Below are 23,208 nucleotides of genomic sequence, written 5' to 3' on the forward strand. Positions count from 1 at the left end.
TGCCAGGGCTCCCCGGGAGCCTCACCTCTCACCCTCCTTCTTGCTTCTCACTCTACTCCAGCCACTCTGCAGTTCTTCCATGACCAGCAGCAACCCCACCCTCTTGCTTCTGGGACTAGATGCTGTCCCTGTTGCCTGGAACACTCTTCACCCCCCTTGCTACCCTGACACCTCCCAACGTGCCCCACCAGGATCTCCCAGGCCTGGTTGGGCCTCCTGTGCCTGTGGTTTCCCAGCATCATCACGCAACATTATTTGTTTAACTCCCTTATTTCCTGCCAGACCCCCATCACCTTCACATTGCATCCTCAGAACCCTGCGTGTGTCTGTGGCGCATACCCAATGGGCTCTGGATAAATACATTTGAGTGAATTCAGAAAGCAGTGAACCAATGCGCAGACGTGAACTGGAAGCACCTGGCTGTTTGGTGCTGGATGAACAGCCAGGCCGCCTGCACCCTGCCCAGTGCCCCCCATGCCCAGATTCCTGTTTCTACTCCAAGACTGTATGCCAGACTCTTTAGAGAAGTTTCTCAAAGGGCCCCAAGGCCATGTCAAAGACTGCATTGCCTGCATTTGCTGGAGCAGAGCTCAGTAAGTCAGTACTCACTTTGTTAATGGCTTTTGATGGACAGCAGTGGATCTCAAATTTGAGCATGCACCAGAGTCATCCAGAGGGCTATGCAGACACAACCTGGGGGCCCCACCCCAGAGTTTCTGATTCAGTGGGTCTGGGGACGGGTCTCAAGGATTTGCATCTCTACCAAGTTCCCTAAGTGCTGCTGCTGGTCTGGGGACCACACTTTGAGAACCACTGACTTGCAGGGCAGTAGGTCAGCATGGGAAAGAGATGCATAAGGAGGACATTCCTCCACCTCTCTCCCTGGGTGGGCAGAGCTACCTGCCTTCCCTTGTAAGGGGAAGCAGAAAATTGTTTGGCTGCTGTTCACCAGAGGCAAAGGCACCCTCACTGAGCATTTATCTAGAATCTAGAGCTCTTAGCTGCTGTGCTGTCTAAACACTGTTGGAATTTCAGAATGAATCAGAGACTGCTGACTTGTCTTCCTATAAAAAATTTAAAATCCAAAATCAAGACTGGCCTTTGTGTTGCTGGGCCATGTTGTTTTTGTTCATTTATTCACCTGCATACACCGTGGGGCACATGGTCCCATCCTTTAACGCTTTCCTATGAATTAGCTGTGTGAGACCCACAGTAGCTTTGTAAGAGAGTTTGAGCCCAGTCTAAGCAGACAAGTGACTGGCTCTCCCACTGGCTGTTTGCACAGAGCCTGGATCTCCTGGCTTCAGTCCCGGAGTCCTTCCCCCACCTTCACCTTCACTCCCTCTCCCACGAATGCCTGCTCAACCTTCCGTTCATGCAGTTGTGAAACCCTCAGGAAACACCTCCTCAATCCCACACCCTGTGCTGGGAGCTGGAATGTAAAATGATGAGTAAAAGTACTGGGAGACTCATGTTGAAACTCGCTTTTCTTTTCTCCCAGGCTGCAAATTTGCTAGATGAACAATCATTTTGTGAACTGCTGAGACCCCAGCTGGGACTACTGAAAAGCCAAGAAAAGTAGTGACTCCTACAAGAAATCTGTTTTATTCCCCTCGAGAGACCATTGCTTTTAAAATACCCCAGAAAAGAAAGTGTAGCAGCAAGACAGAGAGGGAGAGCAAGGGAAAGAGATGCCTTGCCTTTTAAGACATATACTATGCTATTCACGGATCAAATTATGTGATGTCTGGGACTTGTTTAAAATAGCAGAGAACTGAAAGAAATCAAAGAGGATCTAAATATGGAGAGAGATTCTGTGTTCATGGATGGGAGGGCTCAACAGAGTAAAGATTTCAGTTGTCTCCGAGTTGATACATAGGTTTAATGTAATTCCTATCAAAATCTCAGCAGGATTTTTTTCTAGCTATAGACAAGATTATTCTAAAATTTATATGGAAAGGCAAAGGAACAGGAATAGCTAAAACAGGAGGCCAGGGGAGGAAACAAAAAAGAATAGCTAAAACATTTCTGAAAAGAGGAATTAAGTAAGATGAACCACTCTACCAAATTTCAAGAATTATTTTATACCCACAGAAAACAAGACTATTTGGTATGAGAGGTGGATGAACACATTGATCAATGGGACAGAATAGAAAATCCAGAAATAGTGCCAAACAAGTACAGCCAACCAGTTGTTTAAACAATTGTGGTATAATCCACATGCCATTGTTATTTTCATATTTTGTTATTCTTGTTGTTTTTGTAATGACCATACTAAGGATGAACTGGCATACCGCTGTGATTTTTATTTGCATTTCCCTAATGATTAGTGATGTCGTATGTCCTTATTTATATGCTATTGACCATTCGTATGTCTTCTTTGAAGAAATGTCTATTCAAATCCTTTGCCTATTTTTGAGTTGGGCTAGTTTTTGAGTTTTTTGTTTGTTTTGTTTTTTGAGTTGTGGGAGTTTTTCAAAAATGTATTCTGGATGTTATTCCCTTATCAGATATATGATTTGCAGATATTTTCTTCCATTCTATGGGTTGCCTTTTCTCTCTTGATACTGTCCTTTAATGCACAAAAGATTTAAATTTTGATACAGTTCAATTTACCTATTTTTTTCCTGTTGCCTGTGCTTTTGGTCTTATATCCAAGAAATTATTTACAGATTCACTGCTGTAAAGCTTTCCCCTGTTTTCTTCTAAGAGTATTATAGTTTTAACTTTTATATTTAGGACTTTGTCCATTTTGAGTTAATTTTTATGTGTGTTAGGTAAGGGTTTAACTTCATTATTTTGCATTTGGATATCCAGCTTCCCAACACTGTTCGCTGTAAAGACTGTCTTTTCCCTCACAGTGTTAGCACCTTTGTCGAAAATCAATTGACCACATATGGGAGGGTTTATTTCTGGATCCTCTATTCAGTTCTATTGGTCTATATATCTATCCTTATGCCATTTCCACATTATTTGATTATTGTGACTTTGTAGTAAGTTTTGAAATCAGGAAATGCGGGTCCTCCAACTTTGTTTTTTTCAAAATAATTTTGGCTAGTCAGGACCCCTTGAGATTCCATGTGAATTTTAATGATGAATTTTTCTATGTGTGTAAAAAAATGCCACTGGGGCTGGGCGCAGTGGCTCATGCCTGTAATCTCAGCATTTTGGGAGGCTGAGGTGGGTGGATCACCTGAGGTTGGGAGTTCGAGACCAGCCTGACCAACATGGAGAAACCCTGTCTATACTAAAAATACAAGATTATCTCGGTGTGGTGTCACATGCCTGTAATCCCAGCTACCTGGGAGGCTGAGGCATGAGAATCGCTTGAACCCGGGAGGCGGAGGTTGCCGTGAGCTGAGATCGTGCCATTGCACTGCAGCCTGGGCAACAAGAGTGAAACTCTGTCTCAAAAAAAAAAAGTCATTGGATTTTTATAGGAATGCATTGAATACACAGATTGCTTTAGGTGGTATTGTCATCTTAAATATATTAAGACTTTCAATTTATGAACATGGGACGTCTTTCTTTGCTTTTTTTTTTTTCCAGCAATGTTTTGTAGCTTTTATTCTACACATCTTTGGCCTCCTTGGTTAAGTTTATTCCTAAGTATTTTATTCTTTGGTTTTTGTTTTTGTTTTTGTTTTTTTGAGATGGAGTCTCGCTCTGTCGCCCAGGCTGGAGTGCAGTGGCGCGATCTCGGCTCACTGCAAGCTCCGCCTCCCGGGTTCATGCCATTCTCCTGCCTCAGCCTCCTGAATAGCTGGGACTACAGGCGCCTGCCACCACGGCCGGCTAATTTTTTTGTATTTTTAGTAAAGACGGGGTTTCACTGTGTTAGCCAGGATGGTCTCGATTTCCTGACCTCGTGATCCGCCCGCCTCGGCCTCCCAAAGTGCTGGGATTACAGGCGTGAGCCACCATGCCTGGCCAGTATTTTATTCTTTTTAATGCTATTGTAATGAAATTTTCAAAAGTTTCCTTTTCAGATTACTCATTGCAAATATACAGAAATAAAACTGATTTTTGTGTGTTAATTTATATTCTGTAGCCTTGCTGAATTTTAGTAGCTTTAATAATTTTATTGTGGATTCTTTAAGGTATGCTACATGTAAGAAGATGTCATCTGCAAACAGATAATTTTATTTTTCCTTTTCAATGTGGATGTCCTTTATTCTTTTTCTTTATTTTATTTTATTTATTATACTTTAAGTTTTAGGGTACATGTGCACAATGTGCAGGTTTGTTACATATGTATACATGTGCCATGTTGGTGTGCTGCACCCATTAACTCTTCATTTAACATTAGGTATATCTCCTAATGCTATCCCTCCCCCCTCCCCCCACCCCACAACAGGCCCCAGTGTGTGATGTTCCCCTTCCTGTGTCCATGTGTTCTCATTGTTCAATTCCCACCTATGAGTGAGAATATGCGGTGTTCGGTTTTTTGTCCTTGCGATAGTTTGCTGAGAATGATGGTTTCCAGCTTCATCCATGTCCCTTTACAAAGGACATGAACTCATCCTTTTTTATGGATGCATAGTATTTCATGGTGTATATGTGCCACATTTTCTTAATCCAGTCTGTCGTTGTTGGACATTTGGGTTGGTTCCAAGTCTTTGCTATTGTGAATAGTGCTGCAATAAACTTACCTGTGCATGTGTCTTTATAGCAGCATGTTTTATAATCCTTTGAGTATATACCCAGTAATGGGATGGCTGGGTCAAATGGTATTTCTAGTTCTAGATCCCTGAGGAATCGCCACACTGACTTCCACAATGGTTAAACTAGTTTACAGTCCCACCAACAGTGTAAAAGTGTTCCTATTTCTCCACATCCTCTCCAGCACCTGTTGTTTCCTGACTTTTTAATGATCGCCATTCTAACTGGTGTGAGATGGTATCTCATTGTTTTGATTTGCATTTCTCTGATGGCCAGTGATGATGAGCATTTTTTCATGTGTCTTTTGGCTGCATAAATGTCTTCGTTTGAGAAGTGTCTGTTCATATCCTCTGCCCACTTTTTGATGGGGTTGTTTTTTTTCTTGTAAATTTGTTTGAGTTCATTGTAGATTCTGGATATTAGCCCTTTGTCAGATAAGTAGGTTGCAAAAATGTTCTCCCATTCTGTAGGTTGCCTGTTCACTCTGATGGTAGTTTCTTTTGCTGTGCAGAATCCTAAGCCAAAAGAACAAAGCAGGAGGCATCATGCTACCTGACTTCAAACTATACTACAAGGCTACAGTAACCAAAACAGCATGGTATTGGTACCAAAACAGAGATATAGACCAATGGAACAGAACAGAGCCCTCAGAAATAATGCCCCATATCTACAACTATCTGATCTTTGACAAACCTGACAAAAACAAGAAATGGGGAAAGGATTCCCCATTTAATAAATGGTGCTGGGAAAACTGGCTAGCCATATGTAGAAAGCTGAAACTGGATCCCTTCCTTACACCTTATACAAAAATTAATTCAAGATGGATTAAAGACTTAAATGTTAGACTTAAAACCATAAAAACCCTAGAAGAAAACCTAGGCATTACCATTCAGGACATAGGCATGGGCAAGGACTTCATGACTAAAACACCAAAAGCAATGGCAACAAAAGCCAAAATTGACAAATGGGATCTAATTAAACTAAAGAGCTTCTTTATTTCTTTTTCTTGACTGGTCTCACCAGGACTTACAGTACTATGTTGAATAGAAGTGGAGAAAGCAGGCATCCTTGTCTCGTTCCTCATCTTAGTGATACAGCTTTCCGTCTTCCATCGCTGAGTATGATGTTGGCTGTGAGATTTTCATATGTGGCCTTTATCACATTGAGGACTTTTCCTTCTATTTCTAGTTTATTGAATGTTTTATCGTAAAAACTTGGTCAATGCTTTTTCTGCATAGATTGAGATAATCATGTATTTTTCCTTCATTCTGTTAATTTAGTGTATTATATTGATTTGCTCTCCTATGTTGACCCCTCCTTGTATTCCAGAAATAAATTCCATTTGGTCCTGATATATAATCCTTTCAATATGCTGCTGAATTCCATTTCCTAGTATTTTGTTGAGGATTTTTGCATCTATATTCATAAGGGATATTAGTCTGTAGTCTTCTTGTAGTTTCTTTGTCTGGGTTTATTATCAAAGCAATAGTGATGTTATAGAATGAGTTGGGAAGTATTCCTTCCTCTTCAATATTTTTGGAAGAATTTGAGAAGAATTGGTGTTGATTATACTTTAAATATTTGGTAGAATTCACTACCAGATGGTAGAAGCCATCTGGCCCTGGGCTTTTCTTTATTGGAAGTTTTTTTTATTACTCTTCAATTTCCCTACCAATTATAGATCTATTCTGATTTCCTATTTCTTCTTGAGTCAGTTTTGGTAGATTATGTGTTTCTAGAAATTTTCCATTTCATCTAGTTTATTTAATTTGCTATTGTACAACAGTTCATGGTATTCTCATAATCATTTTTATTTCTGTAAAATAGGTAGTCATGTCTTACTTTGCTCATCAAAACTTTTGATTTTTTACAAAGGTACAAAAGCAATTCGGTGGAGAAATGATATTCTTTTCACAAATGATGCCAGAAATAATACCATTAGACCATCCATAGGTGATGAAAATGAACCTTGACTTAAGCTTCACACATTATACAAAAAAAAAAAAAACAAAAACCCCACACACAAAATGAATTGTAGATTTCCATGTAAAACTTTTAGAAGAAAACATTAAGAGAAAATCCTTGAGAACTAGGGTTTGGCAAAGAGTTCTTAGACATGACACCAAAAGCATGACTCATAAAAGGAAAATTTGAGAAATTGAACATTATAACAATTTTAAACTTTGGCACTATGAAAACCCTTTTTAAGGCAATGAAAAGATAAGCTACAGACTGAGAGAAAATACTCGCAAACCTCTTATCTGACAAATAACTCAAATATATAAAGAACTCTCTGAGCCAGCTGTGGTAGCACAAGCCTGTGATCCCAGCTACTTGGGAACTGAGGTGGGAGGATCACTTGAGCCCAGGAGTTCAAGACCAGCCTGGGCAACATGGTGAAACCCTGTCTCAAAAAAAAAAAAAAAAAAAAAGAACTTTCAAAGTTCAACATTAAAACACCAATTATTAAATAGGCAAAAGAGGGCAAGGCATGATGGTTTACACTTGTAATCTCAGCACTTTGGGAGGCTGAGGCAGGAGGATCACTTGAGGCCAGGAGCTCATGACTAGCCTGGGCAACATAGCGAGACACCATCTCTACGAAAGTTTTTCCAGAAAATTAGGCAAGTGTGGTGGTGTGAGCCTGTAATACCAGCTACTCAGGAGGTTGAGGTGAGAGGATCCCTTGAGCTCAGGAGTTTGAGGCTGCAGTGAGCCATGATCATGCCCCTGCACTCCAGCCTAGGCAACAAAGCAAGACCTCATCTTAAAAAAAATAGGCAAAAGACATAAAGAGATATATCACCAAAGAGGATATATGGCAAGTAAGCACATGAAAAGATGTTCAACATCGTCAGCCTTTCAGGAAATGAAAATTGACACCATGATGAGATATCACTATACACCTATCAGAATACCTAAAATATAAAATAGTGACAATACCAAATGCTGCTGAAGATTCAGAGAAAGTGATCTCTGAGACATTGAGAGTAATAGGAACGTAAAATAGCACAACCACTCTGGAAAATAGTTTGGCAGTTTCTTAAAAGCTAAGTAGTCAACTACCATCTGACCCAGTAATTACACTCCTGGGCATTTATCTCAGAGAAATGAAAACTTATGTTCACACAAACCCCTGCTGGTGAATTATCATAGCAGCTGTATTCATAATAGGAATAGTTGGAAACAATCCACATATCCTTAAACAGGTGAATGGTTAAACCAACAGTGGCATGGAATGCCATGGAATTCCATGGAATGACATGGAATATGACTCAACAGTAAAAAGGAATGGAGTATTAATACACATAGCAGCTGGGATAGAGTGCAGGACATTTGGCTGAGTGAAAAAGCCAACCTCAAAAGCCTACATACAGGTTGCTCTGGTGGCTGTGCAGATCTGCACTGGTGATACAGTGCCATACGCCTATACACACACATTGTACTAAAGTCAGGTTCTTGGCTATGAGATCATACTGGACTTATGAAAGCTAGACCATTGACGGAAACTGGATGGAGGGTGCACAGTGCCGTCTGTACTATAGTGGTATGCCCTGTGACTCTACAGTCATTTCACAATAAAACATCTTTTGTTTTGTTTTGTTTTGTTTTTTGGGCGGGGGGTGTTTTGAGACAGAATCTTGCTCCATCGCCCAGGTTGGAGTGCAGTGGAGCGATCTCAGCTCACTGCAACCTCCGCCTGCTGGGTTCAAGCAGTTCTCCTGCCTCAGCCTCCTGAGTAGCTAGGACTACAGGTGTGTGCCACCATGCCCGCCTAATTTTCTGTATTTTTAGTAGAGACAGGATTTCACCATGCTGGCCAGGCTGGTCTTGATCTCCTGACCTTATGATCTGCCTGCCTCAGCCTCCCAAAGTGCTGGGATTGCAGGCGTGAGCCACCGCACCTGCCAATAAAAACATATTTTAAGACCCTAGGGGAGAAGGTATGGCAATTTGACAACTTTTGGTGGATTGCAGTTTGTTTTAGATGTGTATCGTGGTTATGTTTTTTAAAGAAAGAGAGATGGGATCCTTACGTTTCAGAAACATATGCTCTGGTGTTTACAGATGAAATTATATTGTATCTTAGATTTGCCCTAAAAACCATCCAGTCGGGAGGGGAATTAGATGATGAAACAAAAGTGGCCACATGTTGAGAACTGTTGAAGCTGGACAATGAATATACAACGTTCCTTATACTATTTTCTCTCCTTTTGTGTACTTTTGAAACTTTCCATAATAGAAGTTTTTAAACATAAATGAAATAAAAATCATGAGTGTTCCTAGGGACTTGTAGCTGTGTACAAGGTTAGCAGAAGGCCCTTGGCTCCTGCTTGCAAGCTGGGTTCTGGCCACTGCCTCCAGGTCGGAGACAGAGTGTATTAGTCCATTCTCACAGTCCTATAAAAAAATACCTGAGACTGGGTAATTTATGAAGGAAAGAGGTTTAATTGGCTCACAGTTCCACAGGCTTCACAGGACGCATGACAGGGAGGCCTCAGGAAACTTAGATCACAGCGGAAGGTGAAGGGGAAGCAAGTACCTTCACCACATGGCAGCAGGAGAGAGAGTGAGCAAAGGGGGAAGTGCTGCATACTTTTAAACGATCAGATCTCATGAGAACTCATTCACTATCACGAGAACAGCAAGGGGGAAATCCGCCCCCATGATCCAATCACCTTCCACCAGGCCACACCTTTAATTCAACATGAGATTTGGGCAGGGTCACAAATCCAAACCATATCCCTGAGGGTTTCCCAGGTCAGTTCTGGGGACACATGTGGAGCTTTAACTGTTCCTGATGTTGGCTCTGCCAGGCCTTTGGGCTCCACTTTTAAGGAACTTGCCATTTGCCACCCCAGTCATCCTCCCAGCTTCCATCTGTTCAAGTGTTCATCCTTCCATTGGTTTCTTCATCTGTTTCATCACCATTTATGTGTTTCTTCCATCCATCTGTTTACTCATTTATTTACTTAACATTTCCTAAACGTCGACATTACGACATTAACAAATAAGTCATGGCTCCTGCCTTCAAGGAGCTCAGAGTCTATCTGGTTGGGGGGAGTCAGACCAACATAGTGTACAGGGATGCGTTTCCTTCTGTGAGAGTTGCCTGTTCAAGCTCCCTGAGAGTAAGATAAGAGTCATGGATGGGACTCTCACAGACGAGAAAATGTCTGAAAAGAGTCTTCAAAGTTCATATTTTCACCTATGTTGGGCCCATGTGGATAATCCAAGATAATCTTCCTATTTTGAGGTCAGCTGATTAGCAGCCCTGGTTTCATCTGCAACCTTAATTCCTCTTTAATTCCTCACGTAACATAACATATTCACAGGCTCTGGAGATGCCATCTTTTCATCTTTTGGAGACCATTATTGTGCCTCCTGCAAGAAGAGAGTCCAGATGCAGACCCAGCTATCTAGAATCTCAACTCAAGGACAGAGCAGACATTGTAGGTCCATGGGAAAGGACTGCCCATTCCATGAATGGTGCCAAGACCATTTATTATCCTTACAGAAGAAAGAAATTGGTTTCCAACCTCACTCTATACCACAAAAATCATTTCCAGGTGGATTAACAGCATACATATCAAAAGAAAAGTTATAAAACATTAAAGGATAACAGAGAAGAATATCATTATGACTGAGGTTGGAAAGAATTTCCTAGACACAGAAAACATACACCAAATAGGACTAGATTGACAGATTTGTCTATATTAAAATTAAGGACTTCCGTTCTTCAAAAGGCACCTTAAAAATAGTAACAAGCCACAAACTGGGAGGAGATAGTTGTGGCACATCTGAGTGACGGAGGTATCTAGAAGTGAGGAAAGGAATGTGTGTGTATACATACATACATGAATACATACATATTTTTATGTCAATGATATGTTAAAGATAAGCAATTCAATAGACAAATGGGTAAAACTCATAAACACTTCACATTAAAGGAAAATATAAATGGCCCATAGATAAAAGGTCAACTCATTAGTAATCTAAAATGTCAATTAAAATCACAGTAAGATACCATTTCATACCCATTAGACTCAAGAATTTAAATGTCTCGTAATGCCAATCACAAGAGCTGGCTGGGATGTGGAGGGATGGAACATTCTTGCGCCGCTTTCAGGTTCTGGGAAACTATTTGGTGTGCCTAGGACCCAGCAGGGCCACACACACCTAGGCGTCTACACTCAGCAGTGTGAATTCACACCAGGGGTGGTGATTTTCCCCAACTGGACAAATATCTTAGCTATTATGATGGTTTATGGCTCTCCAGAATGCCACATTGCGTAAGCAATACACAATACATTTGTGGTATTGATTTCATAGGGGCAGGAAAGGATTAGGAAAACAACGTGCTCCTTAGTGGGGCCGTCATGAAAGCAGGGTTGAGAAACAATGTCCTAGAGAAACCCTCCAACGCATGCCCAGGAGGCATGCAGACACTGTCCAGCAGCACCACCACAGCAGCACAGGGAATGACCCACCCTGCTCCAGCAGTACAGCCAACACACAAAATGTGAAAGACTCGTACAACACAAGACTGTGTGGCAGTGAAAATGAAACAATCACAGCTACACACACAGTTGAGTGAAAAGAGCCAGCCAGAGAAGAGTGGATTTGCTGGATCCCTTTAGACAAGGTCAAAACTTAGCATAACTGACAGAACTAAATGCTAAGACAAAGGCATGAGAATGATTTATTACAAGTTCTAACTCTTGAATATCTCTACAGGAGGGAGATGGGAATGGGACTGGAATGGAGTATACAAGATATGGAAGGTCAAGTTTCTGGTGTTTTTCTTAAGTAGAGTGATGGGTATCAGGACTGTTCATTGTATTAAATTTCAAACCATATTTGCATGTATGTAACTATGTTTTCTTTGAATACACACATATATATTGCATAACAAAATGTTAACATTTTTCCTAAGGGCCTATACTATAGCCAACACAATGGAAAATGGTTTGTCACTGAATACAACCTAAGGGGCTCTCGAGCTGTGTGATGGTGAATACTTATGTTTCCTTGTCAGCCAAGTTGCTGTAGACTGGGTGATGGGTGACTAATGGTGGTGGTGTGAGTGAGTTGGTGCATTCTTTCACCCAGGCCACATGTTTGTGGCAAGGATGGTTTGAGAACCTAGCCCTGCAACCTGCACGCTCCCCCTGCAGAAGAAGCATTTGTCCTGAACCCACTGGGCTCCTTCTCCACGTGTTCTCCCCTCAGCCCTTCCCAGCCCAGCCCCCTTTGCCCAGCTGCTGTCTCTCCTTCCAGCCATGCCTGATGGAGCTCTGGACACAGCTGTCTGCGCTGACGAAGTGGGGAGCGAGGAGGACCTGTATGATGACCTGCACAGCTCCAGCCACCACTACAGCCACCCTGGAGGGGGTGGGGAGCAGCTGGCTATCAATGAGGTAGGGTCAGGGCTGCACGGGCAGAGGGAGGGACAGGCTGGGGCTACAGGCTAGATTCCAGCACGCTAATGCAGGCCAGATGCCCACAGTCCACGTTCCATGTGGCTGCTGGTGGTGCTGGCCATACACAGCGCAGTTTCAGCCTGCAGTCCTCATTTGGGATGTGGTGTCAAGAGCACGGTTTGTCCAACACAGGACTCCCTGTGCCCTCCTGAGGCCCACAGAGCAGATGCAATGCCAGCGTGCTGGTCCACCTTATGGGGCTGTCCTAGTGAGCAGCTGTCAAGAGCCATCCCAGCTGGAGGAGTCCTACTTAGTAGAAGGGAGGCTAGGGCTTCTCCAGTCACTCCAGCCCCTGACCCCCCAACCAGCCATCTGGGCAGGCTGGGAACAAGTTGAGGGAAAAACCATTTTCTCTCCTGACAACAGGAGTTCAGAAGTATTGCTGTTGCTATGACAACTGCGTGCAAGTTGCTGTGTTTTTGCTATTCCTACTGAAGCAGAAGAAATCCATGAGAATCCTCATCCAGGCAAAACTGGTTCCCATCTGAGTTCTCCCTTTGCATTCCCAATAAGAGAGGAATCGTGATGCTTTAACGCCCCTCTCTTTCTCACTCACCCTCCTACTTTCTCAGCCTCTTTTACTTAACTGGAGGGTGTTGTTGAACGTCATGGAAGTGTAACCAGTTGACCAGCACAAGCACATGCCCATAGCAAATGCCATGTTCTCTAGTCAGGAGGTACTGGTGTGTTTCTGCTTCATTAAAACTGGACTCTGACAACCCAGGATCTTATAGCACACAGGTTTTTCCTTAAGAAGAGATCAATTTTGGAAGAGTTAGACTTTTCTGTGAATGAATGAGTTGGGGGGCTTCTCAGAAGCCAGTGAGGAGGGTGGCGTCCTCCTTACCCACTGGACAGAGGAGTGGAATCAAAGGCCCATGAACTCCTCCTAGAGGCCCAGCTCTAGATGATGATTTAAAACAGTCATTAAGGGCGGGCATGGTGGCTCACGCCTATAATCTCAGCACTTTGGGAGGCTGAGACGGGTGTATCACCTGAGATCAGGAGTTCAAGACCAGCCTGGCCAACACTGAAACCCCATCTCTACTAAAAATACAAAAATTAGCCAGGCATGGTGGCGGGCACCTGTAATCCCAGCTACTCGAGAGGCTGAGGCAGGAGAATAGCTTAAACCTGGGAGGCAGAGGTTGCAGTGAGCCAAGATCGTGCCACTGCACTACAGCCTGGGCAACAGAGTGAAACTCCATCTCAAAAATAAAAATAAAACAGTCGTTAAATAATGCGCTACTCAAAATCCATGGTGCATAAAAAATAAACATGTAAATAAGCTTTCCCAACAAAACCTTTCTTTTTAAGTGCCTCTTCGTAAGCTACTTGGGATGGAAGGTGTTCTGAAATGATGCCACCTGAAGCAGAATTCACAAGGAATGGTTGTGCTTTTCCTTTTTTTTTTTTTTTTGAGATGGAGTCTCACTCTTGTCGCCCAGGCTGGAGTGCATTGGCACAGTGGTCTCGGCTAACTGCCACCTCCGCCTCCCAGGTTCAAGTGATTCTCCTGCCTCAGCCTCCCAAGTAGCTGGGATTACAGGCGCCCGCCACCACACCTGGCTAATTTTTGTACTTTTAGTAGAGACAGGGTTTCACCATGTTCGCCAGGCTAGTCTCAAACTCTTGAACTCAGGTGATCTGCCCGCCTCAGCCTCCCAAAGTGCTGGGATTACAAGCGTAAGCCACCACACTCGGCCAGTTGTACTTTCTCTGGAAGACTCAGGCTGCCTCCTCCATCTTGGGGCTCGGTCCAGCAGGGGGACCCCGAGGGGGCCTGTCAGATGTGGGGCATGGAGCACTGAGCAGTGACCGTTTGAGCTGGTTCACATGGCTGTGACACCAGATGGTGTGAGGCTGTGCAGGGCTGATGGTAACTGACTGCACACACCCAGCAGGGTGAGCTCTCAGTACATCTCCAACCACGAGGGTGATCATCCCAACCAAAGCCCTCAGGACTCCGGAGAGGTGGGGGTTCCATGGCTGGCCTTATGGCTGCGTTGATCTTGTGTCTGCATTTCATAGTTGTGTGTCTCCTACCTGAGGATAAAATTATGGATTGTCACATCTTGCTGCTGGCGAAGAGGTGTTTTTTTGGGCTCTGAGTTCCTTGACAAGTTGTTCATTCTAAGATGCTTTGGCCGAGAAAGGCCAAGAGCCAGGACTTCTCTGAAAAAATAACCCAAAAAATGAGGCTCTGTCATCTTTCTGAGGGAAAGGCAGGCAATTTAGATTTGGATTGTGTAAGCGCCTGTTTGGTCCTGTTTGGTTCAGAGGTCTCTCCTGGCATTGGAGGTTGCTGAGCAGACGGAGTGTTGCTGCTTTGCCTTAACGTTTAGGGCGCGTGTCCCCAGGGAGAAGGACACACACATCACAGAGGAGAGCAGGAAGTCAGGCAGAGGGAGCCCGTCTCCTGCGATGCTGCAGGCTGGTGCTGGGGAGGCTGGCTCCTGTCCCAGATGGCATCCACGCGCCTCATGAAGGCTACCAGTGCTTCCAGATCCTCATGTAGAAAGGCTGTCCTGAGAGAGGCAGTAAGAAGGGCAGGCCTGGGCTTGGAGGCCTCTCTGGGTCCAGCACAGCGCTGCAGCAAGGCCATCTCTGTGTTTTGTGGGTGGATGTGACACCGGAGCCCTCACTGTGCCTAGCTTGCACTGCAGACTCAGGAAAGGTGGTGCCTGCCTGTTAGGAGCCGCCAGAAGCATTAAGTGGACTCACTCATCAGAAACTGAAAAGATAAGAAGTGATTGTCCTGCGACAGGCCAGTTCCCGGGCCTTCAGGGCAGCACTCCCACGGGCTCAGCCAGAAGCTTTGCTGGGGGTTAGCGTGACTTTAATATCTAGAGATGAGCAAAGCAACAGGTGTCAGAAAAAAGTCCTTACTAAATAATATTTGGCTTGCCCTAAAATCACACATTCACTTCTATTTTCTAAGAATATGTAGGGGCTAAATTGTGGCCCTTTCTTATCTTTTTGAGCTCTCAGTTCCTTGACAAGTTGTTCATTCTAAGATGCTTTGGCCAAGGAATATCTAAGATGTTTGACATCAACATGAACAAGAAAGGGTCACAATTTAGCCAGATGCCTCCCTCAGAAGGGGAAACCACCTTGCAATTTCCTAAGCAGAACGAATGCAAACCCTCTGGCCTGGAGAGCGGCCCACTCGGGGCAGAGCCGCGAGGCAGTTTGCATTCCAGGTACATGAGGAGTGATTTTTATGCTTGCACACAGATGTGTGTGCACGTGCTGTACATAAAGGGTGTGGGTGTGTGTTGCATACATGTAACGTGTGTAGTGAGTACTTGCGTCAGGGACGCACCAGGTCCTAGGATGCAGCTGTGCAGAAGCCATAGTCCTGCCTGCAGGGAGCTGCCCACAGGCCGTGTCTGTGTGGGCCCCTGCATTGTCCCATATGGGCCTGAGGAACGTGCAAACAGGCACAATGTCTCGTTCCTTCTGCATTCCTTGAGTTCCCTGTGCCCTGCCCCTCGTGAGTGTCCAGTCCCTGCCAGGCAAATTAAGGAATGCAGACGCTGAGTGTTTTCAGTGCCCAGGAGTGTACTCTCTTCTTCCAGCACTGGCCCCTCTAGGGCCTACCCCCAAGGCCATGGCCCAGGCCTGGGCCTGTCTGCCCAGTTCCTCGCCCTCCCCCTTGACTCTCTTGGGCTGCACTGTGCCCCTGCAGTCAGGCCTGAGGCCACCCTAAGCCCCCTGGACTTTTTCTGAAGCTAAAGCCAGAAGCGCCTGTCAGTGAGAGTGACCACCCAGCTCCCTCCCCACCACCACCACCGTGTGGGCAGTGCTGCCAGTGCGAGCCATGATGTGACCAGGGGAGAGGACGGCCTGGCTCCTGCTGGGGAGGTCTAGGGTCTCCCATTGCCCACTGGCACCTGTGAACAGCAGCCTGTCCCCTGCCTCATGTCTTGCAGCATCCTGTGAGCTGCTTCTGCCCCACCTCATGGAGTGCCTAAGCCCAGCTCGTCTTCCAGCCTGGTGAGGATGAGCACGAGGTGTCTGGCGCACTGATAGGCATCAGGCTCCTCTGTGGGGCCGAGGAGGGGGAACAAGAGCCAGGTCCGGCCTGGGGACAGATGTCCCCAGGGCAGGGTCACTGCCCTTGCTCTCCTGGCATTCTCCATGAGACAACCCGAGGATGCTATAGGACATGAGGCCAGCTCTTGGTCACCCCTCATGGAGTCACTCTGACTCGCTCCAGGTGTTTTTGTCTTCCCTGAGTTCCCGTGCCGCTGGACATCCCTCCCCAGTCCTGACCTGGCTCTTATTCCCCCTCCTCAGCCCCAGGGAGGAGCCTGATGGCTGTCAGTGCTGCAGATACCTTGTACTCATCCTCATTAGGCTGGACAGCAAGCTGGGCTTAGGTGCTCCATGAGGCGGGGCAGGAGCAGCTCACAGTCCCTTGGGGCCACTGCTGCCACTTTTGCGCAGGGCTGCAAGGTCACCTGGTGGCCAGCCCCTCCAAAGTGGCTTTCCTCTTCCCTTTGTCCTCCCAAAGCCACAGCACTGGGGGCTCACCCCTCATCTGCCCCAGACACCTATGTCTCCCTTCTGCTTGCACCTCAGTCCTGCCACCAGCCTAGTTGGGCCACTCCCCTCCCTGGTGGGAGCTGTCTGTCCAACCCCTCAAGGGCCTAGGCCTTTGCCTTCAAGCTTTCTTTTCTTTTCTTTTCTTTTTTCTTTTTTTTTTTTTTTTTTTTTTGAGACGGGGTCTCACTCTGTCACCCAGGCTGGAGTACAGAAGCATAATCTTGGCTCATTGCAACCTCCACCTCCCAGGCTCAAGTGATCCTCCCACCTCAGTCTTTCTCGTAGCTGGGACTACAGGCACATGCCGCCACTCCTGGCTAATATGTGTATCTTTTGTAGAGATGGAGTTTCACTATGTTGCCCAGGCTGGTCTCGAACTCCTGAGCTCAAGCGATCTGCCCGCCTTGGCTTCGCAAAGTGCTGGGATTACAGGTTGTGAGCCACCACACCCTGTCTGCCTTCAAGCTTTTCTGTTAGGTTTTTGGTCATGAAACTCACATAGGAAAGCTGTTACCACTGCCGTTCCTGCCATAAACCCAGCTCTCTGGGATATAGAGGCTGGGGGCCCCTAGGCAGGGAGAAGGACCCTGCTCAGTCCTCAGTCAGGGGTGCTTCAGCCACCTTCAGTCCTCCCCAGGCTGCCCTGCTGTGCATGGGGCAGAGGATGTGCGCAGCACTCAGCTGGGGCTGAAGAACCAACCCCTGCCTGCCCAGGCCTGGCCCAGTGGCCGAGCAGGCTGCTGTAGACCCTCCAGCACTCAGTGCCTTTGCCGGCCATCCAGCTCACCGACCCACTGTACCCAGGGCCCAGAGGACATGTACCCTTCTGGGTGGCCAGCTGTTCAGAGGCCACAGGTGCACAATGAAGCATCCACACGTCAGGGGTTCGAAGCCACACCCCATGAGAGGACACATCACCATCTTACTAGAGGACTGCTGGGATTTGGGGGTACCAGCGAGACTTTAGATGTCTTCTGATCCCCCCAATTCTCCTGACAGCTTGGGGGAGCAAACCTGCAGACCAGCGTTTTCTAAAGAACTGGGCATGAGCAGTACACCAGGCGGATGGGCCCAGGCTGAACCTTCAGATGTGAGGGAGGCACACAGCCTCTCTGGACACATCCCTGACACTTCTCTGCACACACACACGGGCACCCACATGTTGTACATAGGCACATGCATGGAAACCCCACCCACATACACACAGGTACCCATATGTATATACACACAGAGGTATCCCCTTACACAGAGGTGCCTATGCCCATGCACACACAGGTACCCCTTGTGTACACACATGCACACACATGTGGCATCCACTCTGCTTTACAGTCAACAGGATGGTGACATTCAGGGTACACTCACCTATCTTTGCAAGGGGTGGCCAAGAGCTGGCCACACACAGAGAGATCAGAGCATACAAAGTCACTCCCATGGGAACACCCAGTCTGCACACATTCCCTCTGTGCGCCCCTCCCTGCCCTCCAGGAACTCTTCTTGCTCCAGGATTCAAAGCACTGAGCTTGTTGCCCAGAAATCTCTGCCCATGCCTGAGCGGAGTGTTTAGCCCTCTCCCCTGCAGTCTTCTTATCTCTCAGAAGGACACACTGACTGTACCTGGGCTGTCATTCTTAAGGATAGAATGAGAGCTCTTGCACAAGAGCTTTGAAACCTACAGGGTTAAGGTTGCAGGCTGTGTCGAGTGGAGGCAGAGGAAGCCCTGGACGCCTGGCTTTTCCAAAGGAACACAATGCTGCTCGGACGCTGCGGTCAGTGAAGAGGGGCCCCTCAGGGTGGATCGCTCCCACCGGAGTTTAAATCCTGCCTCCGCCATCCCTGCATTCCTGCGCGATTTTATGACTGAGCAGAATCCCTAACCTTTCAGAGCCACGTTTACTCATCTGTGAAGTGGGGGCCTGCGGCCAGTCCTTGTAAGGAATCAGAGTCCCTGGCCCATCCCTCCCCAAAGCGCCGGTGCCAGGCGTTTTGGCCTCTGTATCTCTGAAACGAGGAGGTCCCGGGGCATCCCCGAGCGCCCCCGTGGCCATCTGTGCCACTGGCCAGCCCAGGGCCAGGACTGCTGTGCCGGCGTGGAGATTCCCGACCCTTTCCAAGGAGGTGCCAAGGGCGCAGCGCAGCGCACGCCCGAGCCGCCGCGGTCCCTCTGAGCCTCTCCAGCCCGCCGCCGCCGCCGCCCCCGCCCGCACAGCCGGCTTGGTTGCCAGGGTTGCCAGGGCTTGGGGCCTGGGAGGCGCCGCGCGCACGGCGCCGGCTTCGCGGGAGGAGCCCCAGGCCCGCGAGCGCAGGCGCCCCGCCTCTCCCCGGGCGCTGCGGGCCACCGGCTCGGCCCTGTGCGGCGGGATCTCGGGGCCGCACGGAGCGGGAGGCCGGGCGCCATGGCGAGGGCCCCGCAGCCCCGGCGCGGCCCCGCGGCGCCCGGGAACGCCCTGCGCGCCCTGCTGCGCTGCAACCTGCCCCCCGGCGCCCAGCGCGTGGTGGTCTCCGCCGTGCTGGCGCTCCTGGTTCTCATCAACGTCGTACTGATCTTCCTGCTGGCCTTCCGCTGAGCGGCCGCGCAGGGCGCCGCGCCGGGGTGAGTGGCGCGGGCGACGGCACTCCAGCCGTTGCCACCCGCGGCCTCCGCACTGGTCGCGGAGGGAAGGCCTCCTTCCACCCCATGTGCTCACTACCAGGGCCTGGTCCGGGGGTGTCGCCGAGCGGGTGCCTGAGGGGCGTGGTGGCACGTGTGTCACAGGGTCCTTCTGTCCTCTGTGCCCTGTGGGGAGTGGGGGCTGCGGGGGCGAGGGGGGAGGCCAAAATGGCGCGTCTCTGCGAGTAACCGAGGATGCGGATTCAGCTGGGGCTCCCCGGCTGCTTGTCTGGAAACGGAGTGCATGTGACCGCTGGGTGAGCGACCCGCGCTTGCATCTGTGTAGGTTGAGTCAGGTGTGTGGAAGACCCCCGGGCACCGCTGCGCATGTTACCTGCAGTTGTTTTTCCCGTTTTAGGCCTTAAAATACGTGGTGTCAGTCTTCCCACGGGCAGAGCCCCTCTGCCCCCCTTGCACGTGGGCCCTCTGAAGCCCCCACCCCTGCTGCACAAACTGCGGGTGTTCACAGCTGCCCCCACCCTGCACGTCTGGTAGGTGGGCAGGGTGGGGAGGGCAGTGGCGGTCACAGGGAGTAGCTGGAGGCAGAGCCTGGCAGCGTTGCCCTTCTGGAGGCTGTCAGAACCTCAGAGGCACAGGAGGGGATCCCGCTCCCTGCCCTGGGCTATTTGAGTCTCAAATGTGCACCTCCATTGGGACCTTCTCCCACAATAGAACAGCCAGTTTCACAGCCCTGCTGTGTCTCAAGAGTCAGTCTCCGCTCCCTGCAGGCAGAGAGGCAGCCTGGACTCCTTGCCCCTTGGGCCTGCCTGGCTTGTGTCTTGGCTCAGGTGCAGCTGTGCCTACGAGCACCAAAAAGGGCCTCTGCCCAGAAACGCACCCAGCGCAATAGCATCGGAGGTGGAGCATGACTCTGATGTCCTACGAAACTGTCTCTGACCTCACAGAGCCACATTTTGTCTTGGTGACAACACAAACAGTTCACATTTCTCCTAACTCTAAATTAGAGTACCTCCCGAGTGGGAGGCTGTGCAGAAGGGGCTGACATCCTTACATTGGTGGGAGACACAGGAGGAGAGCTTGCTCACGGCACGTGTCCCTCTGCCAGGGTGCGACAAAGGCAATTAACACCTCCTCCCCTCCTCCCCAAGGTCTTCCAGCTGACTGGGCAGGACAAGTGTGGGGCTTGTCCCTAATGGTGCCTGGAAGCTGGCCTCTCTGTGAAGCCCTCCTCTTGCCCGACACCTGGTGACCTTCCCTGGCAGCTATGTGGGGGGCCACCTATGCCGGACCCAGTCCCACCTGCAGGGACAGGCAGCATAAAGGAAAGGGGAATGGGGGCACCAGGCTTCTGCTCAGGGCTCATTTAAGGGAACCTAGAGACAGAGGGTGACACCTCACCTGGTTAATATCAGGCAGGAACCTCCTGAGAAGGGAAGCAGTGGGAAAATGAGCCATGTTGAGTGTGTCGGGTCACCTCCTGACAGCCTGTGTCACAGACCCCAGGTCAGGGCCATGTCACCTACAGCTCACGCTCTCACTGGTGTCCCCAGACCGCCATGTCTGCTTCCTTCTTTCCCTGGAGCCTCATTCTTCAGGGCCTCAGCGGGGTGAGCCAGCTCCCCACTGTGGCTGGTGGGCTCCTACCATATGGTCGCCTGAGCCCTCCTGTCTCATCTCATCTGAGTGGCAGCAGCAGCTCATGATCTGGAGGCCACCTGCAGAAGGTCTTTGTGGCTGGGAATGAGAGCAGTGGCCCCCTGTGGAAGCCTGCTGCCCCCAGGAATAACCCAGGGCTCTGTGCCTGGGACCCCGTGGAGGCCTCTGGAGGTCTGCAGCCCCCGCGTGGCTGCCGCGCTGTGAGGGTTCCTGGGCTCACAGGCTCATGTGTCACTCTGAGGAGAGCGTCCATCAGGACTGGAGCAGGTTTTACCCCCAGGAAAGAGAAGGTTTGTCCTTCCCTGAACTTGCTTGCTCAGGACCCCTGGAGGAAAGCACCATCCCAAGCAGGCTCTGGAGCTTCAGTGCTCCAGTGGCCAGCCCCAGCCCTCACCCTGCCCATTCAGGCAGAGGCCTCTTAGCTGGAACACAGGACTGGCCCCACTCTTGGTTTCCATGTTGAGGTGAGGATTCACACAGTGCTTAGGGAGTACCCAGTGAAGTGAAAGGAGGGCTCCTGGGATGGGAGCTCAGAGGAGGGCCTGTTTGTGACATTCCCATCCTTGACCGCCCCCACAGCTGTGACAGCCAGTGCCAACACCTGGTCCTAGCAGGGAGGGTCGTGGACCTCACCTCCTGTGCAGCCCCAGCCCACTCCTCCTCTCCTGCCCTAAGGCCCTAGAACTGCTCATCATTCAGGGAGCAGAAACAGATCCCATGTTAGGAGAAAGCAGGGGTCAGCCCCATGGCGTACAAGGGCTGCCTGGGAGAGGCAGGGGAGCGTCCAGTGTCTTAGTCCACACCACTCTGGAGCAAGGCACTCTGCTGGTTATTTGAGCAGAGAGAAGCATGTGAAGAATGGTCGGCTAGGTATAATGTGGTTGACTGGGTAACACTGCATAAGAGCAGTCCTGAAGTGCCTGTCACAGAGGTAGCAGCTGCAAAACGTTTCTGCTTCTCCTAGAACTTGGGAAATGAAGAGAAGAGGTTGGACTAACTCAAACTTAGGATCACAGGGCTTGGGACCTAGAGCTCTAAGAAGGGGCATTGCTCAGCTGGTGCTGGCATCTCTGGGGCTTGGGATGGGAGCAGGGGTGCCATGAGGTTGGTTCTGCAAGTGTTGAAAAACACACAGTAAACAAGCTCCAATCACTCCAATGGCAGGGCACTGTCTACCTGGATGAAGGGGCATTGTGGTTGGTGGCTGACCTTACAGGCAATGCTCATCCACAAGAAGCCCACAGGAGGGCACCAGCCCCCAGCCCCTCCCTCCTGCAGCCTTGCAGCCCAGCCTCTCCCTCCTGCAGCCTTGCAGCCCTCAGCCTCTCCTTCCTGCAGCCTTGCAGCGCCCAGCCCCTCCCTCCTGCAGCCTTGCAGCCCCCAGGCCCTCCCTCCTGCAGCCTTGCAGCCCAGCCTCTCCCTCCTGCAGCCTTGCAGCCCTCAGCCTCTCCCTCCTGCAGCCTTGCAGCGCCCAGCCTCTCCCTCCTGCAGCCTTGCAGCCCAGCCTCTCCCTCCTGCAGCCTTGCAGCCCTCAGCCCCTCCCTCCTGCAGCCTTGCAGTGCCCAGCCCCTCCCTCCTGCAGCCTTGCAGCCCCCAGGAATTCTGGATTGGGAATGCTAACAGGGAGCAGTTGGCAGTCCCAGTGACAGGATCAGATTCTGTGGTCAGTTCACTTCCGGCTCCATCACTGAGCCTTGATAATCTAGACATGCCCAGAACATAGCCCCTGCCCCAGGAAAGCCCTGCTCCTGTCAGAGGCAGCCTTGTCAGCTCCTCTGTAAAGAAGTCAGGATCCCCTCTTCCCAGGGCTGCTGAGGGAGTGGAGACAGAGAGCAGGGAGGCCCAGGCAGCCTCCCCCACTGACCCGCCTGCCCGTGGCTCTCTCGGCAGCTCATCAGCGATGGCAGTGTGGTCTGCGCTGAAGCACTCTGGGACCATGTCACCATGGACGACCAGGAGCTGGGCTTCAAAGCTGGGGACGTCATCGAAGTGATGGATGCCACCAACAGAGAGTGGTGGTGGGGCCGGGTCGCCGATGGCGAGGGCTGGTTTCCAGCCAGCTTCGTTCGGGTATGGTTCCAAGCCCCAGCTTCTCCCAAGTTGGGCCCATAAAAAGCTACCTGGTTCTGCAGAGAAATCCAAGCCCAAAACAGCTCTGGCATCCTAGGTGCAGAGCACTGGGTGGTGGGTGTCGGGGCGCAGTGTCACAGCCTTCCTCCTCCTGGAGAGCCACTACTCCTGCTCCCA

The 23,208-nt window shown here is 49.2% G+C and overlaps 2 protein-coding genes across 9 annotated transcripts in view; both read left to right on the top strand.

The window, feature by feature from the left end:
* Window positions 1-23,208, top strand: part of ARHGEF4 (Rho guanine nucleotide exchange factor 4) — a 210,340-nt gene that overhangs the window by 179,088 nt on the left and 8,044 nt on the right. For 5 of the 8 annotated variants that reach the window (NM_001367493.1, NM_015320.4, NM_001375901.1 and 2 more), the window contains 2 exons: window positions 11,944-12,083; window positions 22,852-23,031. In NM_001367493.1, coding sequence (NP_001354422.1) covers window positions 11,944-12,083; window positions 22,852-23,031 — 320 coding nt within the window. Of the gene's footprint in view, window positions 1-11,943; window positions 12,084-18,998; window positions 19,288-22,851; window positions 23,032-23,208 lie in introns of those variants that run through there. The other 3 variants (NM_001375902.1, NM_001375903.1, NM_001395416.1) reach the window with 2 other exon arrangements.
* On the top strand, window positions 19,091-19,261 carry SMIM39 (small integral membrane protein 39). The gene has a single exon (NM_001414894.1). It carries the CDS (start codon window positions 19,091-19,093, stop codon window positions 19,259-19,261), a length of 171 nt encoding a protein of 56 aa, NP_001401823.1.

Source organism: Homo sapiens, chromosome 2, assembly GCF_000001405.40.
Source record: "Homo sapiens chromosome 2, GRCh38.p14 Primary Assembly".
In the NCBI taxonomy this organism is placed as follows: domain Eukaryota; kingdom Metazoa; phylum Chordata; class Mammalia; order Primates; family Hominidae; genus Homo; species Homo sapiens.